The sequence below is a fragment of the Homo sapiens genome, chromosome 16 (genome assembly GCF_000001405.40).
Source record: "Homo sapiens chromosome 16, GRCh38.p14 Primary Assembly".
Lineage (NCBI taxonomy): Eukaryota > Metazoa > Chordata > Mammalia > Primates > Hominidae > Homo > Homo sapiens.
Window position 1 is genome coordinate 32,163,896 of NC_000016.10, and position 24,278 is coordinate 32,188,173.

Consider the following 24,278-nt stretch of genomic DNA (forward strand, 5'->3'; position numbering starts at 1 on the left):
CTACAGCCAACTGATCTTTGCCAAGGGTACCGAGAACCTCAGGGAAAGAATAGTCCTCAACAAGTGGTATTGAAACAATCAGATAATCAAAAGGAAAAGGCTGGACTCTTACCATACACTGTGTAAAAGAAATTACCTAAAAATGGACCAAAGATCTAACTATAAGAGCTAAAACTATAAAACTTACGGAAGAAAACATGAGATGAGGATAATCTTCATCAGTCTTGTATTTGGAAATGGCTTTTTGGGTATGATATCAAAAGCATAGACGACAAAAGAGAAACAGATAAACTAAACTTCATCAAAATAAAAAACTTCTCTATGAAAGGAAATACAATCCAGAGAACAGGAGAAAATACCCACAAATGATATATCTGATAAAGGTCTACAGATCTGTGAAGGTCTAGTATACATGAAATTTTTAAAGAGTCTGAGGACTGGTGTTAATTCTTCTTTAAATGTTTGGTACACTTACATAGTGCATTTACCGGTACAACAACAAGATGACGACAAATAACCCTATTTAAAAAGGAGAAAGGGGCTGGGCGCAGTGGCTCATGCCTGTTATCCCAGCACTTTGGGAGGCCAAGGCAGGCAGATCACCTGAGGTCACGAGTTCCAGACCAGCCTGGCCAACATGGCGAAGCCCCATCTCTACTAAAAATACAAAAATTAGCCAGGTGTGGTGGTGTGTGACTGTAATCCCAGCTACTCGGGAGGCTGAGGCACGAGAAGCGCTTGAACCCGGGAGGTGGAGGTTGCAGTGAGCCGAGATTGTGCCACTGCGCTCCAGCCTGAGTGACAGAGTGAGATTCCGTCTCAAAAAAATAAAATAAAAAATAAAGAGAAAGGGACTTGAATAGACACTTCTCCGAAGAAGATATACAAATGGCCAACAAGCACAAACATGTAAAGAAGCTCAATGTCATTCATCATTAGTGAAATGCAAATCAAAATCACAATGAGATAGCACTTCACACCCACTAGGATGGCCTTAATCCAAAAAAAAAAAAGAAAACCACAAAAAATAGTGTTGGCAGGGAAGTAGAGAAACTGGGACCCTGGAATCCTGCCCCCTGGTGGTGGGAATGTAAAAATGATATGGCACTGTGGAAAAGTTTGGTAGTCTCTTAGTAAGTTACACATAGTTGTACCATATGACCCTGTAATTCCAGTCCTAGGTGTATAATCAAAAGAACTAGAAACAAGTGTTCAAACAAGTATTTGTATATAAATGTTGCTAGCAACACTATTCACAAAAGTCAAAAGGCAAAACCAACCCAAATGTCCATCAACAGATAAATGAATAAACAAAATGTTATATATTCATACAATGGAAATCTTTTTCAGCCATAAAAATAAAGTACTGATATATACCAAATGAAATAACCCAGACACAAAGGCCACAAATGGTATGATTCCATTTATATGAAATATCCAGGATATGCAAATCCATAGACAGAGAAAGCAGATTTGTGACTACCAGGGGCTGGAGAGCAGGTGAGTCAGGACTGATGGCTAAATGGGGTGCATTTATAGTGATGAAAAAGTTCTACAACCAGACAGTGGTGATGACTCTAGAAAATTGTGAATGTATTTAATACTGCTGAATTGCGACGTTAAAATGCTACACTTTCTGCTATTTGTGTCTTACCATAATTTACAAAAAGCTTAAAAAAAAAAAAAAGAAATCAAAGCAAAATCTTGACGTTTTCCCAAAGGCTCTCAAGCCAGTGCAGACCTACCAATCAGGCGCAGTGCCGTCTGAGTGAGGGCCAGCGTGCCGGAATTGAGCAGGAGGTCGAGGTTGTTTGCGCTGTGCTGCAGGGTGAGCATGCTGAGCATCATCAGGAGGAAGCGGGCTTGCGGGATGCTCCCCAGGCTCGGTCCCAATGGGTTCTCACTGGTGATGGTCTGCAGGGGAACCGGCTGGATACCTAATAAGCATTGACACCCACTTACGTTTCTTGTGATGGATACAAGAATAAACATAACGCAGAAAGCACGGGCTATTACTTTAAACATCTGACTAATAAGCATTGACACCCACTGACATTTCTTGTGCGTGGATACAAGAATAAAAGTAACACAGAAAGCACGGGCAATTACTCTAAACATCTGACTATTTTTCAGTGGTTTCCACAGAGTGGGCAGCTCTGTCATGCTGCACGATGGGCCCAACCCCTGTATTCTATGCACAGGTCGTTCCATCTGTCTACAGGACTTAGCATGTTTCTCTCTGAATACACTGGTGCCCTATTCCATTCCTTCCATTTCAAATATAAAAGTTATGTCTCACTTTTCCTCCACAAAACCAATCCAATCAACTCTCTGTAGATGCTCAGACTATCCAGGAAATAAATATTAATATAGGACACAGACACTTAGGATATGTGGTGATACACATATAAATGTCAAAATGTAAAAATGTTATACTAGAGTACTTCAACATTGTATCTCCTGCTAAATTTTAAAGTTTTGTTTAAAATCTGAGAAAGCTGACAGCAGCATAGATTATACAAGTACAAAGTACAAACTTATTACAGTCTTCTCAAAAGCAAAAATTGGCATTTGCAAGTTTCCACAACACATAATTAAAGGCAAACTATAAAATAACATTGATGCAATTGTTGACTCACCAAGCTCTTTAAATTTGGCACTGGCATCCATCAGAACATTTAGAATGTTCTGAACAGTCCAAGCATACAGCTTGCCAAAGGTGACTTCCAGCAGCATCCGATTAAAAGGTGGGATCAAATCAACATCCTTTAAACAATCAGTAAGAGGTTCCCTTTCAAATAAAGATAAAGAATTTGACTCGGGACACTGCCAGACTTCTAACTGTTACAGAACAACATTCTGTTGCCACAGCTTCCTTAGTTAGGAAAAAAATATGCTAACGTTTTACCCTATATCGATTCCTTCAGGAATAAGTCTTTGCCATCCACAAAACATCGCTTACTGCACAGATGGAAGTAAGAAATTCTTGCTCACCAGATACAATTTCAAAATTGTATCTATCCCTTCCAGGCGAACCTCTGCTCTCTCCAACTGCAAAATATCAATGCATATACAGTTAAGTGTTATGTATATTACCCACTGCAGAGAAGCATTTCTCATCAAATGTTATCTGTTTTAGTAGGCACTATCTCATTTTTTCCACATCCACTGGCTCTTCCTTAAGGGCAAATTCAGCAATTGTACTGAGGAGTGGAGACTGCGGATAAAGATCCTGAACATTCTGCTTCAACCACTTGTATCTGTGAACCCCTGTAACAGTACTCAACAGTGGCTGCCATTTGTCCTAACAAAGGAAAACAATTTTCATCATTAGTCTACCCTATTTAATATTAAACTGTGCTCTAAAAGTTATTCAAGTAAAATATAAATAATGCTCATAGGTTTAAATTGGTTAAAATATGTTAAATTTAGTAATTAATACATGGTTTTAAAACTATGCTATAAATATAAGTGAACTTATCTCTATACTAATATATGTTGGAACAGGCTAGCTTGGCATACGAAGTTAAGTTGTGGTTCATATTAATAGCCACAGGGCCCAGCACTGTTTCTGGAACAAAGAATATATTTAAGGAATGAATGGTGAATAATTAATGATACAATCTAGTACCAAAAATAAAAGGAAACCCTTCTCCAGCTACAGCTCTGACCAGGACATCATAAGTCAAGTTCATGAACCATCACTGGGGCCGTATTTCTAACAACCGCCCGTCCCTCCCTCCGGATGCTCAGGTACGGAGGTACAAGACTGTGGATTCCTTTGCTACATGCTATGATTCTATTCAGCTAACCTCAGAATCACAGAAAACACTGCACCTTGGGTGATTTAATTGCAATGGGTCTCTTGTCCACATTTATTGGACTATGAGGCAAAATGCAGGCTTCTTCTAAATCACTCTCTTCGTTTCCAATTTTTTCTTCATCAGCCGTAGATTCTGGCTTCTTAGGAACTGTGTTTTAAAACATCATTCACTATAAAAAATCATACACTTAAACATTAATTTTAAATTAGGAAATACTTAGACTTACATGAAAGACAAATATTTCATTCAAATAAACATCTGAACAACATTATAAATTGCAAGGCTCAAACAACAAGAGTGAAATGATCACCATGGCAGAACAAAATGACAAAGTGAGAGCGTGACAAGGGGAGAAGCCCCGAAGCAGGGGAAGCCCAGCAGCCAGCAAGCTCTTCCTCAAGTGCCAGAGAGTGAACATTTGAGTCTTTCAGGCCACGCAGTCTGTTGGAAATACTCAACTCTGCTGCTGTAGCACAAAAAGTAACCACAGATAAAGCAACAGGTGTGGCTGTGCTCCCGTAAAACTTTATGGTGCTACAATTTTAGCTTCATGTAATTTTCATGTGTCAAAAATAATATACTTCTTTTAATTTTTAAAAAACAATTTCAAACTGCAAAAAAAAAAAAAAAAAAAGGTCTTAGTCCACGGGCAACACAAAGCAAGCAAGAGGTGGAATTTGGCCCACAGTTCCTGGCTTGTCCACCATGGTCCAGTTCAGTGGTTCTGTTAGTGTGTAACTGAATTAATTGAATTCATTGTGATATGTGGAATTTCCTCCCTATATTTTATCTCTTTTAAAATTTTTGGTCTAAATCTCCTCAGCATATAATATAAAAAATAAGCAACATGACAATACACCTGGGCAGTAAAGAGCTAACATAGCAGGCCGGGGTTGCTCAAACACTGCAAATTCCCAAGGAAGGTCTGTCCCTTCAGGATTGGTCCTTCTTCTTCTAGGAGCTGAGCTCTGAGGCCTTGGAACATCCTGCCTGATAAGTTTTTTGGTATACCTGACACCCAGGACCTTGTGGCAGTGGTCTGGCCAGGCAATTTATGCTAATGATGTGACTTGCGAGGGACCACTTGTTTTTGCACTGGGGCACTGGAGTGTAAGTAGTTGAGGTCAGTCACATGGGCACTGCCTGCGTATGTGACTGGCCCCCAACAAAATCTCTAGACTCGAGGTTCAGGTGCGCTGGCCTGGTTAACAATTCTGCACACATGATGTGACCCACTGTTGCTGGGAGAGCTAAGCACATCCACGTGACGCCACTAGGGAGAGACACCAAAGCTTGTGCCTAGTTTCCTCTGGACTTCCCTCCATGCACCCTTCCCTTTGCTAATTTTAATCTGTATCCTTTTTGCGGTTAAAAAAAAAAAAAACACACAGCTGTGAGTATAACAGCTCTTCTGAGTCCTTTTGGTGAATCATCAAGCCTGAGAGAAGGCTTGGCGATCCCTGACACAGCAACAGGAATATTAATCACTTAATCTTCTTAAGTTACTTAATTTCCAAAAAAAAAAAAAGAAAACCAGCTTGAAACAACACACAATAAATCTATAAACCCACAAGAAACTCTAAAAGTGACAGTGTGGGCTCAGAACCCACGGATATGAAATGGCAAATGGTGGAGTCTCTCTCCCTCATGCTGAGGCAGGCCTGTCTCCTGGGCCCGGGCTGAGTTCCTGCATGCCTGGGTTAAAGGAATTGCAGCAGTGTGACTGCTGTGACTTCCTGATCCAGAGCACCCATCGGATTCCGACAGGCTGTTATGGTGTAGGGTTTGTTCAGGAACAATCAAATTAGGATGGCTTCTAAAACGCTCTAGTCTTTCATAAGCTTATTGTTCAAAATGCCCATCAGAAACTGAGTAATTAATACTGTTCAATAAGCAGGTTTGTGAGTAAATCAGTATAAGTCATAAGAACATGATCAGAGGCCAGGCGGGGTGGCTCATGCCTGTAATCCCAGCACTTTGGGAGGCCGAGGCAGGCAGATAACAAGGTCAGGAGATCGAGATCATCCTGGCCAACATGGTGAAACTCCGTCTCTACTAAAATACAAAAATTAGTCAGGCGTGGTGGCGCATGCCTGTAATCCCAGCTACTTGGAAGGCTGAGGCAGGGGAATCGTTTGAACCTGGGAGGCGGAGGTTGCAGTGAGCTGAGATTGTACCACTGCACTCCAGCCTGGCGACAGAGCAAGACCCCGTCTCAAAGAAAACAAAAAAGGATATAATCAGAAACTTCTGTAGTTTATTTATAATCACAAGTGACTGAATTCTAAACTATTTTATAATTTCTAAGCATTTTTATTCAAATTTGGATTTAATGCAAAAAGACTTTTCTGTACTCTTACACAGCTACTTCCAGGAAAATGTCAGTAACTCTTTCAGCTTCCCTTTATAATTCTCCATGTATCAGAATACTCAATATTTCCAAACAAAAAACATTTCTTTAGAAGAATGGCAATAAGTTTAAATGTTCCCATTATATCTCATTACCAGGATAACTAATAAAATAAAAATACGTCCTTGTTCCCATCAATTTAGCAAAGATTATTTACGTTTTCAACATCAATTTACTAGTAATCAAATCATACCACACTCAATTCCTAAACTGCCTCATTGTCTGATCGGTTGAAAAAATAGGAGAGATTTCCGTATTTAATCATAACTATACATAAAAATGATGGCAGCAGGTAGAAATGTCACATGGAATCAACAGTAGAGAAACTTCACTCTGAAATCACAGGTCCAGCGAGGCAGGGTGAAGCACATGCTTTAATAGTATCTTCTGTCCTTTTACATTCTTACTTCTCTTTTTCCTCCGTTCCCGAATTATCTTCTGAGCTATCCTCCTCCAACGGGGCAAAGAACTTAACAATTTAAACTCAGAGATTATAGAGAGGTCATTACCAACAGCAGGTCTCAATTCATTAGAGAGGAATCTCAAACGTTCGATGACAGGAGTGCAGACCTCCTTGTAAGAACGGCCCTGTTCTTGATGAGTCTGCAAAGTTAACCAGGAAAAGACAACTTTAACAACAAATATTTCTGCAACTGTCTGCAAAGCACAGAATAAAAAGAATTAAAATATATCACCTTAATGAGCGAACATTTTGCTTGGTAGACAACTCTACAAACATCCACCACTGACTTAGGCAACGTTCTGTGCTTTATTTGCTCAATATCAAGTACACCTGCATGAACTAAAGATAATGCCACATGACCTGCAAAAAGACATTTAAAAGAAGGACAGGGAAGGAATGAATATGTACCACAGGTTAGTCGAGGAATCTGCAGTCTAGCTGAAGTACACAGATATTGAGCTCCTTACCTAAATCTTCATGTTTTAAGAAGCAACATAACAGCAAGCGACCGACCTCTTCCACGGGGTGCTCGGGGGGAAACATGATCGGTGTGGTCAAATGGCACTGCCTACAGTACCTTTCTATTTGACACAAAAAGCCCTGCAACAGAAACAGCTGGAGGTAACTTCAGGGCCGGCCAGTGAGTCTTCACAAATCTTAAACATGCCACAGCTTCTGATGCACTTGCAATCAGTAATGCTTCCGAAGCCTTGCTAGCATGTTAACACAATCAGGTTCTCACCTCAAAACCCTCCAAATAATACATGAAACAAAGTCTGTGCTATGTTAACCAAAGAGCACATAAGTATTCCTATGTCAAAGTCCTCAGATAAACAGAGCACTGAGGTGGCAGTGGGGACAGGCCTAGCTCACCTTCACGTTGTGATCCTGAATGTTATTGTCTGCAATGGCTTGCAGAAATGCCTGAGAATGGTCCCCCAGGGCCCATCTGTGGGAGCAGTCGCGATTTGCTGGCAGGTGTGCCCACTGGGAGCTGCAGTGGTCCTCATCTTTCTCCTCGTTGTAGCTGTAGTGGATCTGGCTGGTCTGCAGCCTCCAGAGAAGATGGATGACTGAAGCCATTCTAGAAAATGCACACGCAAACATGAAAGAGAAACTCAAGTGCACAACTCAAAATAAATACTAAAAAAAAAAAAAAGATGCTCAACTGAACACTCAATTTAGAAGGTAAAATACAGCATCATTCATATGAAAGAGCTCCACCTAACATGTTTACACAGGTTGACTTGTAATTCCTCTATCTACGTGAATACACTTTCTGGTGATTCCACACACCTCAGGCACGGCATCAGAACTCAGGATTGTAGTTCCAGTCCAAAATTCTCTGGATACCTGTGCTCTGCCTGCAGCTGCCTGGTTCCACAGATACCGTGTGAAGACTGAGTTGCACACTCTAACAAGGAAGGCAGCAAAGGGCACCGCTGACACAACTAATCACAGGATTTCAAGTCCAAAACTGTGCACGGATGACTATGGGGGTACCAGGGAGACCGGAGGACAGACCACCGCTATTCTGAGGGTCAGTAAGGGACTTGTGGAAGCAACAACTGAGCTAAGATGAGGAATAAGACCCAGACGCTGAGTATCCAGGCAGGGAACAGCATATCTGAAGGGTTTCTACAAAGAATTACATCCTCAGGGTAGGCTATGTATTCCTAGAGCACTTATAAAGGAATGAAAAGGAGAAAATATTTAACAAACACACAATCTTTAATGAAGGATAGATCCTTGGAGACGGGAGGGCCGATGGACTGGAAAGGAGACCTGTGCATGGTGCAAGGCATGGGATCAGCCAGTGCAAATGTTAATTACAACTGCTTATGGTCACTTGAGGGAGCGGCACATACACACAAAATTAGGATGTGCACCACTACAGATCTCTATTAACGATCTGTGTTATCAAATACTGCTCCAAATCCAAGCAATCAAAGCGGGGATGCACTTACTGTTCTTTTACTGGACATTTAGATTTTTAGAGCACTCAGGAGCATTCCCCAACCCACCACATTCGTTCTTCTGAAACACTAATCCAATGCCAACTCTCTCTGGCCCCCTTTCTTTAAGCACAGGACAGCCCCTCCTTACTGCTCCAAGATAAGCCTCTGATCCTCCTGTGGCTCGGACCCACCTGCCAGGGCTCATGGCACCCTCTGCTCTGGAGCTCGCCAGCCCTGCCCTCCTTGTCAATTTAAACAAAGCCCATCTTCTGGCAAGCAATGAGCCTTGAGGAGGAGGGAGGGAAGCAGACACCTCAGAGGGCACCACAGGCAGTCCAGCACCCAGCACTGCACAAAGGTCCACCCAACGGGGGGCTGTGTGGACACCAAGATCCTCCTTTCCCGCAAGCCTCTCCCACACCCACTCTCGCAAGCAGCAGGAAAGCCCTGCTCCTCTCAGCATTGCCCTTGACACTCCTGTGTTTTCTGCCCAGAATGCTCCCTCATGCAATTTCAGGACTGCTGCCGGTGTGAAGCCTTTCTTCTCCCAGAACCACGTATGAACGTCTCCATTTCACCATTCACCACCTTGTAACGTGACCTGCTTAGAATGCTGGCTCATCAACAAGCAGCAACTGAAAGCAGAGGCGTGTCCTATCCATCACTGCATCCTGAACACCTCGCATGGTAACGGCACCAGGCAACTGCTCAACAGAAGCTGCTCACACGGACGGACAGATAGACAGATGGGAAATGCACGACTACATGAAGGAAAATGTAAACCCATCTTAGGAGACAGGAAAAAGCTTATTATTTTAGGTGGTTACAAAGGCTGCCATCCTGAAATATAACTGACTTGAGCCTGGTCTGGTAAAAACGCAGTCCTCAAATAGAACGCTGTTCCCTGAGAGAACAGCTGATCCACATTCTGTGCAATTTCTGGGCATGCAGGGAGACAAAAGCCATGCTGGGCCCATCAGGCAGGGGCTGCAATACGTGAGACCACCACAGGGTAGACGGGTAGACACTCCTGCACACTTTTTAGCTTCCTCTGCAGCAACAGACCATGAGGGCAAATGACAGCCACTCACAGCTGTTTCTACCTGATTGAGTCTCACTATCCTTATTATTATTTTTTGTAGCATCATCAACTGTGTTGAATCCTCCTCTTTTTTTTTGAGACGGAGTCTCGCTCTTGTCACCCAGACTGGAGCGCAGTGGTGCGATCTTGGCTCACTGCAACCTCTGTCTCCTGGGTTCAAGCAATTCTCCTACCTCAGCCTCCCGAGTAACCGGGATTACAAGCACCCGTCACCACGCCCAGCTAATTTTTGCATTTTTAGTAGACATGGGGTTTCACCACATTGGCCAGGCTGGTCTCGAACTCCTGACCTCAGGTGATCCACCCGCCTCAGCCTCCCAAAGTGCTGGGATTACAGGCATGAGCCACCGCCTGGCCATCTCCTACTTTTTTAAAGAGAGAGTCTTGCTCTGTCACCCCGGCTGGAGTGCCGTGGTATGATCATGACTCACTGCAACCTCAACCTCCCAGGCTTAAGCGATCCTCCTACCTCAGGCTCCTGAGTATCTGGGACTACAAGTACATGCCACCATGCCTGGCTAATTTTTGTGTTTTTTGTAGAGATGGGGTTTTGCCGTGTTGCCCAGGCTGGTCTCAAACTCTTGACCTCAAGCAATCCACATGCCTCAACCTCCCAAAGTGCTGGGATTACAGGCATGAACCACTGTGCCTGGCCCTCTCCCACTCTTAATGGCACTTACAGTTCAAAAAAAATAATCTGCTAATCAGCAAAAAGCAAAGATTTTCTTACTGGCACATTCAATCTCGACAGGAGACAGCGGTGTGCTCATTGCTAAATAGGAAGTGTGTAATCCGAGAAGCAGGCCCAGATTCCTCTCTGTGTCTATCAGAGGTGAAGAGAGACTTCCCGGATCTGGTATGGTGACAACTTCTTGGTCAGGCTGGAAAAATAAACTTCATCATCAATCTGAGGAAACAGAATTAATTAAAAACATAAAACCAAAAGGACAGCTCTGTCCTGCAGCTGTACCGCCATGTGAGCCCAGGGGTGCCCTGGGTGTTCTGCCCCTCCATCCTGTAATGAGTTGATGCTGCTGTGCCCAAGTAACAGCAGATACCACATAAACCCACATGCCCTATAAAGCTGGCAGCAACCGTACACGCAGAAAAACTAAAGCACAGATACATGATTTGGCTAGAATATTCCTTAGGAATCAGTTTCCAAAGTGACTGTACACCATGCTTCAGAAAGTATAATGAATTGTTACATGCATAAAGAACCCACTGGGCAACAAAACTATGACAAGTATTCGATGACAAGTATTAGTGGACTGTGACCACACAGGTAGAGGAAATGAAATTTATTCTAACAAAAATCAAACTCTGAAAAAAGCAAGAGTTCAACTTTTCCAGTCACAGAAGATATTTACAGCAAAGTTAATTCTCCCCTTCATAAAATGCTTTAAGCCCTGCCCTAATGGCATTTAATACATTTTATTACTTGTGGATAGCTGGAAAGCTAATCCCAGTATATAAATTCTATGTGTTCGTGAATACATAGGAAGGACATATTTCTATTGTAAAGAATTACACTTCTACATAGTTCTTCCCAAAAAATACATACCTCAATATAATAAGCCATTCCAAATTTCTACATAAGACCAAAGTTTAACCTCTTTTCTTGTGGAACACTGTCTATATTTCTCACAAATTGATCATTTAAAAAACAATCTTTCAAGACCAGTACATCACAGATCCTAACACGAATAAATGTAAATTCATTTATGACAAAACTTCTAAAGGATCTTTATATTATCCCTAATGCCCCCCAAAAGACCCAGATATCAGTACTTCTAGATCCAAATATTCCTATCACAAACACACGGAGGGTGTCCCCTGCCATCCTCTGCATCACTCAAGGCATACAGCCTCACCTCCAAATATTGGCCAACACAAAATGCGTGCATGGATTCCCGGGTGACTTCAAACTCGAAAGCAGCTTCCAAAGCTACCACTGGGTTTTCCCCTGCAAACTGAGCTGAAAGAAAAAGGGAAAAAGCAACAGGAGTTCAATTCAGCTTGCCTGAAGAGCTATAGGAGAAACAGTGAGTAGGAAATAAGTTAGGCGCTTAACTCAAAAGTGAGGGTTACCAGAGTATAATGACCTCCCACTGTCTCCCAGGGTTGCCTGGGCCAACTCAGAACTTGAAATGAGTTCCAAGTATTAAAACAAAAAATGCATAATGAAAGGAAATTCTTCAAATGTGCTGAATTTGTTGATAAGACAGACACCAAAGCCACAGATACATTAAAATATGCGGGGGCTGGCACAAAACTAAAGAAATCATTTATAAGCCAAATACTCTGCTTAAAATGATACAGGCTGTAACTTTTAACCAGGAAATAAGAAGGGTAATCTTACCAAGAATACTATTTCCTGTTAACGACTGTGTCTGGAAGTCCTTTATATCATACACTTTCTCATCAATCACAATCCAGAAGCCTCCATCTTTATTATGGTTCTCCAAATCAGCTTTGCATATAAGTGTCACTTCCTCATTATTTCTACAGTTCTGACCTGTAAAAAAATGACTCTCTGTATACAGAAACCAGAATCAGTCCATTGATCAATCAACAGGTAAAATGAAAAGAACAAACTGTGTGAAAGAACTACAAGCAGAAATAAACAAATCCACAATCACAATGGGAGAAATACATACCTAGCTCTGAAACTAATACCACACATACAAATTCTATTAAATATAGAATGCTTTAAAAAAAATCTAGGCAGCATGAATATCAAATCAGGCCATGCCAGGCCATAGAGCAAATCTCAACAGATTTCAAAGAAATAAAGTTACACAGCATGTGTGCTGACTACAATGCAGTTAAATTAGAAATAGGTTTTCAAAAGTTCATTCAAAATAAAATAAAAATGACTCTGTATATACAGAAAATGAAAATATTCATCCACATATTTGAAAATTACAAAATACACTTATAAGTAACCCAAAATTCTAAGAAAAAATGACTATGAAAATTAGAAAATGAGTTCAATTAATAATCAAAATATTGCAGATCAAAATTGGTGACATACAACTAAATGCATGCTTGAGGGCATTTACGCCTTTAAATGTGTATATTAGGGGGAAAAAGCTAAAAAAGAAAAGAAACACCAAATCAATAGAAGTCTATTAGTTCATAAAAATACTCAAAAAAAAAGAAAACCTGAGTGGTGGTCACCTATGCAAGTGCTAGGATACCAACTCAATATTATGAAAAATAGTTAAAGGGAGGTGGCAGTTCAAGAAGTCAAGCTTAGATTATGTCCTTCCTGTACAAATTGTACCTCCTGCTAACCAGACAGCAGAGGGCAAGGTTGGTAGGGGATTTTATAGAGGACACGCAACACATGAATTCCCTGGTCTAGCTTCACAGAACTAAAGCGGGGAGCCACTGAGCATTACAGGCCTCCTGAGCCAACAGAAAGCATGCAGCATGACTCCAGACATAACACCACCCCAACGAGACTGAATTCAAATCCAACCAAACCTCTAGATCTAACCAGCAGATTAATGTAACTAACAGAAGAATATGTTGGTCTAGAATAAGAGAATGCAATCAACCAAGTTCAGAAAATGTGAAGTTCTCCAAAATAACCAACTTGCTTCTTTGAAAAAGAAAATGGTATGATCAGAGACAGGGAGAGGAGGGCCTGGAGCCATGTTGTTTGGGGAAAGAGACTAGAAGCATTATGTCAACCAATGCCAATACACAGAACATATTCAGGTCCTAATTCAAAATTACCACCTAAAAAAGGCATTTTTGAGATAGTCCAGGAAAATGTAACATGGACTACATGTTAGATTAAGGAATCACTGTTAATCTTATAGACAGGATAATGATATTGTAGGGTTTTTCTTAAATCCTTATCATTAAGAGGTAAAATGCCTTAAAATGTTTTAAAGACAGAGTTATGCTTTAAAATAATCCAATTGGCCGGGCACAGTGGCTCATGCCTGTAATCCCAGCACTTTTGGAGGCCGAGGCAGGCAGATCACGAAGTCAGGAGATCGAGACCATCCTGGCTAACATGGTGAAACCCCATCTCCTACCACGCCGTATTACCGCATTTAACAGGTATGATGAAGCAACTGAACAGGCTATTTTTCCATTTCCATTGCATTTCAACAGAACCCATTAAAAAGTAGTATAAATGGCCCTTAAATACTAATATATTTTAAAATGCTCAAACTATATCAGGGTCACCATTTTGTGCTTTAGCAGGCAAAATCCCAAAAGCCCACACACAAGGCTGGGAGACCAGCATCCCTATTGGTGGTGAGAGAAATCAAGATGTACAGGAGCGATCTGGTGACAACCAGCCCACACTAGGTGCATCCCCACCTGTGCATGTGCACAGGCACACACGCGTGCACACATGGAGGACACATGTTCCAGGTCAGGCCTTGCAGCACTATTTGTGTTTTTTGTTATTGTTGTTGTTGTCTTTTGAGACAGTTTCACTCTTGTTGCCCAGGCTAAGGTGCAGTGGCGCAATCTCGGCTCACTGCAACCTCTGCCTCCCAGGTTCAAGCGATTCTCCTGCCTCAGCCTCCCGAGTAGCTGGGATTACAGGCATGTGCCACCATGCCCCACTAACTTTTGTATTTTTTAGTAGAGACGGGGTTTCTCCAAGTTGGCCAGGCTGATCACCTCAAACTCCAAACCTCAGGTGATCCACCTACCCTGGCCTCCCAAAGTGCTGGGATTACAGGCATGAGCCACCACAACCGACCCTCAGCACTATTTGTGTAGCAACACTGTGGCAATAAGCCCAAGTGTCCACCAATAAGAGACTCACTGAAGAATGATACATAAAAGACATATCTACACACTGAAGACTAAGCTGCTTTATAAAAACAAAGAGCGACACTCTGATAAAGTACTCCAGTATATATGGTTAGTAAAAAAAAAAACAAGCAACACAAGTAATGCAACATGCTACCACTAGCATACTCATTCCAGAGAACAAGGAGGTTACAGAGGAGACTGAAAAGCCAGAGAGAGCAGGTAGGAAAATGGGTGGAAGGGGTGGGCAGGGGAAGTGACAGTGTGTCTCTGCCTAGGTTTGATTTTTGAACCATGTGACTGTATTCCTCTTTTTTTTTTAACGACTGTAAAACAAAATAAACACTCTTCATACTAGAAATAAAATGTTAGAAAAATCTGGATTCAAAACTAGGATTACTGTTATACACTGGCAAAGTTCACTAACATTCCCAAAGGCAGTTTTCTCATTGACATAATGAGATACAACAGCGTGCATGAGGTCCTCAGTGGGCCTGCACCCTACAGGTGCTCCACACATGCAAATCACTACTATTACCATTACTATTACATAACAGATATAATATATAATTATACTGTCACTACTATAACCAGCATTACATACTAAGACAGCCCACGTTCAGAGTATAAAGAAGGCTGTGGAACCCTCTGTAGAAGGTGGGAGGGCCTGGGGCTGTGGCTAAAGGGGAGCTCTCTGGGGCTGTGCCACCTGAACCTGGAACCTGGGCCCCCAGGTTGGGTCCCCAGGCCTGTGCGCCTCAGCTTGCTCATCATTCACTCTCAACACGGATAACACGTTCAACTGCAAACACGTTTAAAAACCACAGGCCAGCTCCCCCTACCAATACCAGAAAAAGCAAGTCTCCACACGGGCCCAGGATGAGAACCTACAAGTGGTACTAGCTACAAAACCCATGGAGAACACGGTTCTTGCACACACACCTTATGAGACGTCGGACAGCTACACGGCAGAGGCATCTACAGGGTGTAGCCAGATCTTCTAAATGGGCCATGACAACAACTGCCGTTTGTTGCAGATCAATGGCAAGCTCGTTGTCTTGTGGAGGGTGAGGTACCTCAGGAAACTCTCACTGGGGCTCAGAGGGCCAGACAAAAGCTAGAAAGGAAAGGTAAACAAACATTCAGAAATGGTGGGAAAAATTAAAGTAATACAGTTAGCCTTTACCCACTCTTTATATTTTGGTATTGACTCATTTGACCCATCAAATGACAATGTCGATGATACAGTTATACTATACATCTATATATTTATGTAGCATACAAACTGTATAAATGTCTAAATGTGCTGTACACATGTACACAACATTGACTGTGCATGTATACATTTATGACACCACAGGTAAGTTGAATCCACACAGATTACTAACATGACCAAACCACCCTACAGGCCTAGGACCCCTGGAGAAAGGCAGAACCACCTCTGTGGGAACCCAGAACAGCATCTCAAGCTGGCCTTGAAATCTAAAACCAAAACCTTTATTTTAATCTAAACATTGCCCACTCTGGAGAACACCTACTTTCATTTGCAAATTAAATCATAGTTCTAATTCTTCTAAAGGCAGAAGAGCCCTATTATCATTAGTTTAAAGACTAACAAATAATAGAAAAATTAAACCAAAGCATGATATTGAAATGCCTAAGACTTTCCCAAAAAGATGCAAAATTCAACTTGTACTTGAACTGTAAAGACCAGCAGTCCTGGAGGTTTACGCCCAGGGCCCCACATGCCTGCTCCTCCCCCAGCTCGGCGTCCACACCTGTTAAGGGGGGAGCTGGTACTAAACAGAGTGACAGCTCAGATGACATGCCCTGCACAGAGCCCAGTACATAGGAAGGGCCAACAAAGAAAGCCACTATTTTCGTTGTTCTTTTCTAGTATTGATTTAAAAGTGTGTGTTTCAAGCTTGGTTCTGTGCTGACAAGGAAGTCGGTGCTCACTGATCCAAGTCTTCTCCACAAACAAGTGGCCTCCCACACCTGTCTCATCTGACTCGCTGCTGTTACCACCAAATACACCCACGCCAGAGAAAAACACTGCCGTGGACACACACACTGGTCTTGCGTAAAAAATAACTAGACTTGAGTACCACCTAAACACAACGTTCCATCATGACACTCACGTGCATGTTGCCCTCGGAGGGGGGCGTATCCTTACCGCAAATGATGCTCTGGAACGTTTGCAGCAAGGACAAAAGCAAGGTGCTGGTGCCCTGGGCAGAACGCTCATTGTCAGTTTCCTGTGCCCTGCTGTCCCACAGCTGAAGCAACAACAGGATGGCAGACAACATTTGGCTAAAGGAGAAAACACATTTATTCCTAGTAAAAACAGATTAACTTTTTTTTTCATGGTTGATCAAAAATAAAAGCAAACAGCTAGATAGAAGTGAAGCAATACTTGGGATATGAAAGGAAATGAAAGTAAAGCCGTGGTAATTAAATCACTGAATTGACACTAAGATTTTAGCACAAGTCATCGCCTTCTGCTGATAGGAAAGACCAGTTAAGAAGCTCAAAGAGCACATTCACATGGAAGTTCTAGGATCTTAAATTCATGGAATAAAAATAATTAAATGAGGAAAACTGAAAGAAAAAAAAAAAAAAAGAACAGTTCCCAGGCTAGAAAACTGAGCATAAAAAAGGAAGTGAAGAAAAGGTAAAGAGAGAGCGAGCTCTGGGACATGGTGCTCTCTGCTGCAGTCAAACACGATTCAGTGAAATGCACACAATGCAACAGGTATTTGGATACAGAGGCGCTTCCCCAAAGCGTTCCCATTCTGCACAAGCCCTCACCTCAGCGTGCCTCTCTGCACAGCCAGCTCCAGCAGGATGGCCAGAGCCAAGTGCTGGTCCTGCAGGGGCATGCTTCTGGCCTTTTGGTGCCTGGCGTTCCGTGAACATCCCTGAAATGAAAACAGTGGATGCAGGAACACAGCGACCTCCAGAAAGACAGTATGCTTACAATCACACTAACATGTTTACTACATGCTCCCTCCCAAGGAAGGATATATTCTTAATATTTAGAACCAAGTTTCTGAGACTTGCTACTCAAATTTTTCAGAGATTTTTAAAGTATACAATTAACTTACAGAAATGTATTTTATTTAAAGTATTCATTCAGATACCGTATTACAGTAGATGACATACTCCAAGTGTGTGAAGCATAAAATATCTCATTATCCAAAACATGAGTAGAAGAATATCTAGCTACCTTTTCCAGTTTCAATGACGTGTAAGCCTATACCAGTATCAACCTTCTCCTACAGAATTAGAGAACCAATTTCTAAAACCACCTGAGGATCTGGAGGCAAAATGTCTATACTAATTTCTATCTCTGATCAAAGATTACCTGGTTGCTTACTCCCATACCCAGCTCTCCAGAATTGACTTGGCCCTATATACAGGTGCAGGAGTTTCATCTTTTTTCTCTTTGTCATCCAGATCTTCTTTCTTTGTTCCACTTGGTTTGACACTATCATCTGCAGAATTAAAATTTTTTTAATCTGTAACCGCTTTTCAGAATGCCATACCATTAGTCAGTCTCTGCAAATGTCCCTCCCTGAAAAGTTACAACACACATCATTAACTGAATGTTTGACAACTCAAAAATAAAATATATCAATCATACCTGTAACAGATCCAGTATAATTTTCATAAACAAACCAATATATCGGCCGGGAGTGGTGGCTTATGCCTGTAATCCCAGCACTCTAAGAGGCCAAGGCCGGTGGATCACGAGGTCAGAAGATGGAGACCATCTTGGCTGACACAGTGAAACCCCGTCTCTACTGAAAATACAAAAAATTGGCCAGGTATGATGGTGGACACCTATAGTTCCAGGTACTCGGGACGCTGAGGCAGGACAATGGCGTGAACCCGGGAGGCGGAGCTTGCGGTAAGCCGAGATGGCACCACTGCACTCTAGCCTGGGCAACAGAGCAAGACTCCATCTGAAAAAAAAAAAAGAAAAGAAAAGAAAAGAAAAGAAACCAATATATCAAATTATTTAAAGCATGTCTTCCAAAATGATATTTCATTAACTTCCTAGTAGATTTCACAACTGAGAAACTTAGTATTTGATATTTACCTACTTCAATTTCACACGAATTGCTTCCATCCATTGAGTCCCAATGCTTGCGTACCCATGGGAAAAGGGAGGGTGTAGAAAAGGAGTATGATTCAAAAATCTTTTAACCCTTTCCAAGGCCCTACTCCACTGCCAACTGGCAAGCACTGCTATGCAGGGGCGCTGTCACTGATAGCATAATTCAAGAGCACTGGGACACAAAGGAAAAGCTGGGAAAAATGACTTTAGGCCACTGACAATGTAACGTTTCAGTCAAAAACAACTGTCATAAAACTCCTGACATAGTAAGCGAAGAGAAGAGAGAACTAACCTTAACCTTGAAGTGTAAACACGGTCCATCACAGAAGGCTGTGACTAAACGTCTAAACAACATAATTAGAAAAATGTACCTCAATCGGTGAAAGACATGATATCCCATCCAGATTATAAATAATGAGTATCTAAAAATCCCTAAGGAAACAGTTCCTCTGTTTACAACACTTCTGACGCCAAATGTATGGACTTTTGCACCAAGCAATTCTCCAGTTCTTTGCGACACCCAGCTATGTGTCCCACAATGCAATTCAATTCTGAAACTAACTACCTAGAATTAGCACAGACCCCACAGGTTAATAACAGGAGAGAAAAGGTACAATGCTGGAAAAAAAATCTAAAGAACTAATAGCTGAAAACTTCCTAGGTTCAGCAAATGACAGAAACCTAGGCAGACTGAAGAATCTGTGCAAAGCCCAAACAAGATAAATCCAAAGGAAGCCATGATGAGGCACATCATAATCAACTGCTAAACACTAAGGACAAAACCTTTTGAAAAGTGCCACAGAAAGTAGATACAGAGGAATGTCTTGTGTGGCCTGAAATTAAGACTAAATATTATGTGCTGCCTTGACGTCAGTAAAATCAAGAAGGCCTCAAATAGCCTAACCACAAGGTCTCCTCCAAGCTCTGCTCCCACGGATAAGATCCCAGAGCCAAACAACCCTCCTTATCGCGGAGACCCGACCCCAGCCTGCTCATCCCTGCCGGTCCAGAGTTATTCCAACAAGCCAATCACATCTTCCCACGGAAGCAAGGTCATTTCACCCTCTTCTTACTACAAAATGTGCCTCCCACAGCCCCTCGTGGTTCACTCTGTTCCCAAGTGCAGCCCCCGTGTGACATGCGGTGTCCCCCACCCCCAGGGCTGTGAGCATGCGTGACTAATAAACTGCTATTTCATCTGTCCAGTGTTGGTGTCTTATGTTCAGCCATCCCATATCCCTAAGGCAGGAATCTTCTAGGATTATAAACAGAACTTTAATCAACCTCTCCTTGGTTATTTTACTGGTTCCATGATACAGCTTTTTCTGTGCAAAAGATCTGAACAGAAACTTCACAAAGGATACAAGAGTGGCAAAGAAGAACATGATATTCAGCATTGTTAGCCATTATGGAAATGCAAATTTAAACCACAATGAGATCCCACTAGACGTGTTAGAATGGCTCAACTAAAAAACACTGATAACACCAAGTGCTAACAAAGACACAGAGCAACAGAAACGTGACAGATTACCAGCAGGAATGCAAACTAAAACAGCCACTTTGGAAAACAGTTCAGCACATGACCCAATTTTCACACTACTAGGTCTTTATCCTAGGGAAATGGAAACTATATTCACACAAAATCTGTACAGAAATGCTCACAGCAGGATTACAATTGTGAAAGAAAAACGGAAACAACCACAAGGTCCTACAATAGCAGAATGGATAAACACAATGTGGTACATCCAAATGATGAAACACCATTCATCAATAAAAAGAACTATTAATACACAGAACAACAATAAATCTCAAACATATAACTAGGAGTAAATGAAGATGGTTTCAAAACGTTACTTAAAATATGGTTCCACTCACATGACATTCTCAAAAAGAATACCCTATACTGATGGAGAACAGATCAGTGGTTGCCAGGGTATGAGGCCAGGGGATATGTGATAAAAAGCAGCACCTTAAGGGAGCTTTTGGGGTGATGAAACTTCTCCATCCTGATGATGGCGGGGGTTAAATGAATCTATAGGGTCAAAATTTACTGAACTAGATACCACAATAAAATAAATTTCATGTAAGTTTTTTAATAAAAAAAAAGTTGGCTGGGTGCGGTGGCTCACACCTATAATCCCAGCATTTTGGGAGGCCGAGGCGAGCAGATCACAAGGTCAGGATTTCGAGACCAGCCTGGCCAACATGGTGAAACACCGTCTCTACTAAAAATGCAAAAATTAGCCAGGTGTGGTGGCATGCACCTGTAATCCCAGCTACTTGGGAGCCTGAGGCAGGAGAATTGCTTAAACCTGGAAGGCGGAGGTTGCAGTGAGCCAAGATCGCCACTGCACTCCAGCCTGGACCGCCAAGTAAAACGTCATCTCAAAAACAAAAAACAAACAAACAAACAAAAAAACAAAGAAAATATCTAGGTCCAGGTAGGACAGTTGGAATACAGTCCAGTGGAATCATGTCAGAGCAGGGAGCTGGGTCTGGAAGGCTGGAGCAGGGCGTGGCCCCACTCTAGGAAGGAACTAGGAAACGCATCCTGGGTGAAGCAAGAGCAGAGTCCCGTTCTGCAACAGATGAGCCTTTATCCTGATCTGAGAAACTATATGCAAATTTAATACATCTCACTTAGCCTCTTATTTTCCTTAACAACATGGAAAATGAGAGAACAAACAATTCAGAAGGTTAAGACATGAAATACATTTCATTCAGAAATCATACACAGAAAGGTAGGAAATAAATGGGGGAAAATAGCAGCTAATGAAAAGTGAAAATGGGCCAGGGCAGTGGCTCACACCTACAATCCCAGCACGCTGGGAGGCTGAGGCGGGCGGATCACTTGAGGTCAGGAGTTTCAGACAAGCTTGGCCAACATGGTGAAACTCCAACTCTACTAAAAATACAAAAATTGGCCCAGCATGGTGGCAGCCACCTGTAATCCCAGCAGCTTGAGAGGCTGAGGCAGGAGAATTGCTTGAACCCAGGAGGCAAAGGTTGCAGTGAGCCAAGATAATGCCACAGTACTCCAGCCTGGGCAACAGAGCAAGACCCTGTCTCAGAAAATAAAATAAAATATTCATAGTCTTAATAATGGAAAATAAAAACATTTACTGAATGCCAAAAAATCTCCCTAAAAACCCCAATCAGTTGGGATCTACATAAAGAACAATTATGCTCTGCTTTCTAACCACAATTTTTAAAAGAACAAAGGACAAAAATATCCATCAAACGTGGGCCGGGTGCGGAGGCTCACGCCTATAATCCTAACACTTTGGGAGGCCGTGGCAGGTGGATCATGAGGTCAGGAGTTCAAGACCAGCCTGGCCAATATGGCGAAACTCCGTCTCTACTAAAAATACAAAAATTAGCTGGGCGTGGTGGAGGGTGCATGTAATCCTAGCTACTCAGGAGGCTAAGGCAGAGAACTGCTTGAACCCGGGAGGCGGAGGTTGCAGTGAGCCAAGATCATGCCACTGCACTCCAGCCTGAGCAACACAGCAAGGCTCCCTCTTGAGAGGAAAAAGAAGCAAACAACAAATTCATCAAATGTAATAAATAAAACATATACTTTGGATTTTTCCATGTGCTTAGCTTTTCTTAGAGCATCTTTTAGAATTATTGTTTCACAAAAAAACACTTTGGGAAATGTTTTAATTTATTAACACATACTAGGGCTAGGAAGAGAGCTTAAAACTTTTTAAAATATACAGAATGAATTACAGATACGTGAAAGAAAAAAAAAAAAAAAAAGATTGCTGACTCCTGTCATGGAAGGCCCTATCATATGGACATTCTTAGCCTCAGCATCCGGAGGTCCAGAAAGGGACAATTTCGAGTCAGAGAGAATTCTATATATACCATTTATTTGGAACCTTCAGCCCTTAAGATTCCAACATCATGACCTCAGTTTCAACACAATTGTCCTTAGACCTTGTATTGCATACAAATACAAAACAAACACCTCGACTGAACTAACTCTTGTCTCTCCAAAAACACAAACACAAGACCTCATAAAATGAGTGCGTTTCTATTGGCCATAATTACTGCAACTTACTTCTCCAACTTTCCCCTGCACAGTTAACTAAACAGCTCAAAAACTATCAGTAACAAATAACAGTCACCATCATATGGTTAGGAGTGTGGCAGATTTCTTAACCAGTAATAAAAAAATAGGAAAAAAATTTTGCCTATTCATAGATCTCAAGTTTCGTGCACTTGCAAGAAACTAATTAAAAGGCAGCCGTGCACGATCTACAAAAACAGCCATAAAGACTGTTACATTTTAAGTTACAGGAAACAAACCTGCTCCTCTACTATAGCAAGAAACAACTGACTTCCCCTTACATACCCTAAAAAAAAAAAGACACGAGAAATTTAAACATGGAAGCAGAAATACACCAAGAAAGAGACATGTCAAACCCCACCTGTATATCTGTTTTCAACCATTTGGAGTCAAGGCGAGCCTGGGCAGCCAAACACAAATATTCAGAGGGCATCTTTTCTCCAGCTTCCTCCCAGTTCTCAGGCCTGCAAGTAAACATACATGTTGAAGACCTAACGCTTTTTAATATTTTACAAAGACATTCCCGAAAAGTTTAATGCAGAAAAAAAAGAACAGAAAGATGGGAGAGAAGAGCTCGGGGAAGGGAATGAAGAGGAAAGAGAGATAGAGGGAAGAGATGGAGGGAGAGGGAGGTGGGGAAGGGAAAGCCTCCTTCCTAGATAGGCAAGGTATGCCGGGTTTCTGCACCACGCTGGCGAGACCTTGAGAATGGACTGTCACAGGAGGCCAAATCACAATGTCATACCCCTGCCCTCAAATCCAAAAGGTACACACACACATGACAGGAAGCCCATCATTTTTTGTTTTGTTTTGTTTGAGATGGAGTCTCCCTCTGTCGCCCAGGCTGGAGTGCAGTGGCGGGATCTCAGTTCACTGCAAGCTCCGCCTCCCGGGTTCATGCCATTCTCCTGCCTCAGCCTCCCGAGTAGCCTGGAGTACCAGCGCCCGCCACCAGCCCGACTAATTTTTTTTTTTTGTATTTTCAGTAGAGACGGGGTTTCACCATGTTAGCCAGGATGATCTCGATCTCCTGACTTCATGATCCGCCCGCCTCGGCCTCCCAAAGTGCTGGGATTACAGGCTTGAGCCACCGCGCCCTGCCAGGAAGCCCATCGTTTGAACGACAAATGACAGCAGCGTGAATCTGCCGCTTTACCCAACAGCAGGGCGCCTGCATGAAACAAATTACTCAAAAGGCTCACCTGCAGAAAAACCCACAGCCACCACCACTTAGAGATAGAGAGAGGCAGGGGGCTGCGCCGCGGGCGGTCCGCGCAGCAACCCCCCCCCGCCCCCCCACCCCTTGTGCCGCCCGCCAACCCCGCACCGCCTCCGACGCCGGACGCCCCGGTGCCCCAGGCCAGGACCTGAGGCGCAGGGCCCGGCCTCCTCGCCCCGCAGGCGTGCGCACACAGCCTCCCAGCAGCCGCTGGCTCAGCCGGCGCCCGCGATCCCGACGCCTCTCGCTACCCGAGGGGCGTGCCCGCGCGGGACTGCCGCCCCCTCCACCGACCCGCGCTTACCGCCAATCG

The 24,278-nt window shown here is 42.6% G+C and overlaps 1 pseudogene across 1 annotated transcript; it reads right to left on the reverse strand.

Moving 5' to 3' along the window:
* Positions 1-6,147: 6,147 nt before the first annotated feature.
* On the reverse strand, positions 6,148-24,218 carry HERC2P4 (HERC2 pseudogene 4; annotated as a pseudogene). The gene is made up of 14 exons (NR_109773.1): positions 24,114-24,218; positions 23,108-23,210; positions 18,195-18,516; positions 17,916-18,045; positions 17,360-17,469; positions 16,690-16,861; positions 15,491-15,665; positions 12,120-12,293; positions 11,632-11,735; positions 10,488-10,638; positions 7,571-7,781; positions 7,165-7,297; positions 6,930-7,057; positions 6,148-6,837 (listed from the first exon to the last, which is right to left on the reverse strand). The product of NR_109773.1 is annotated as an HERC2 pseudogene 4 (transcript).
* Between the last annotated feature and the right edge of the window lie 60 nt (positions 24,219-24,278).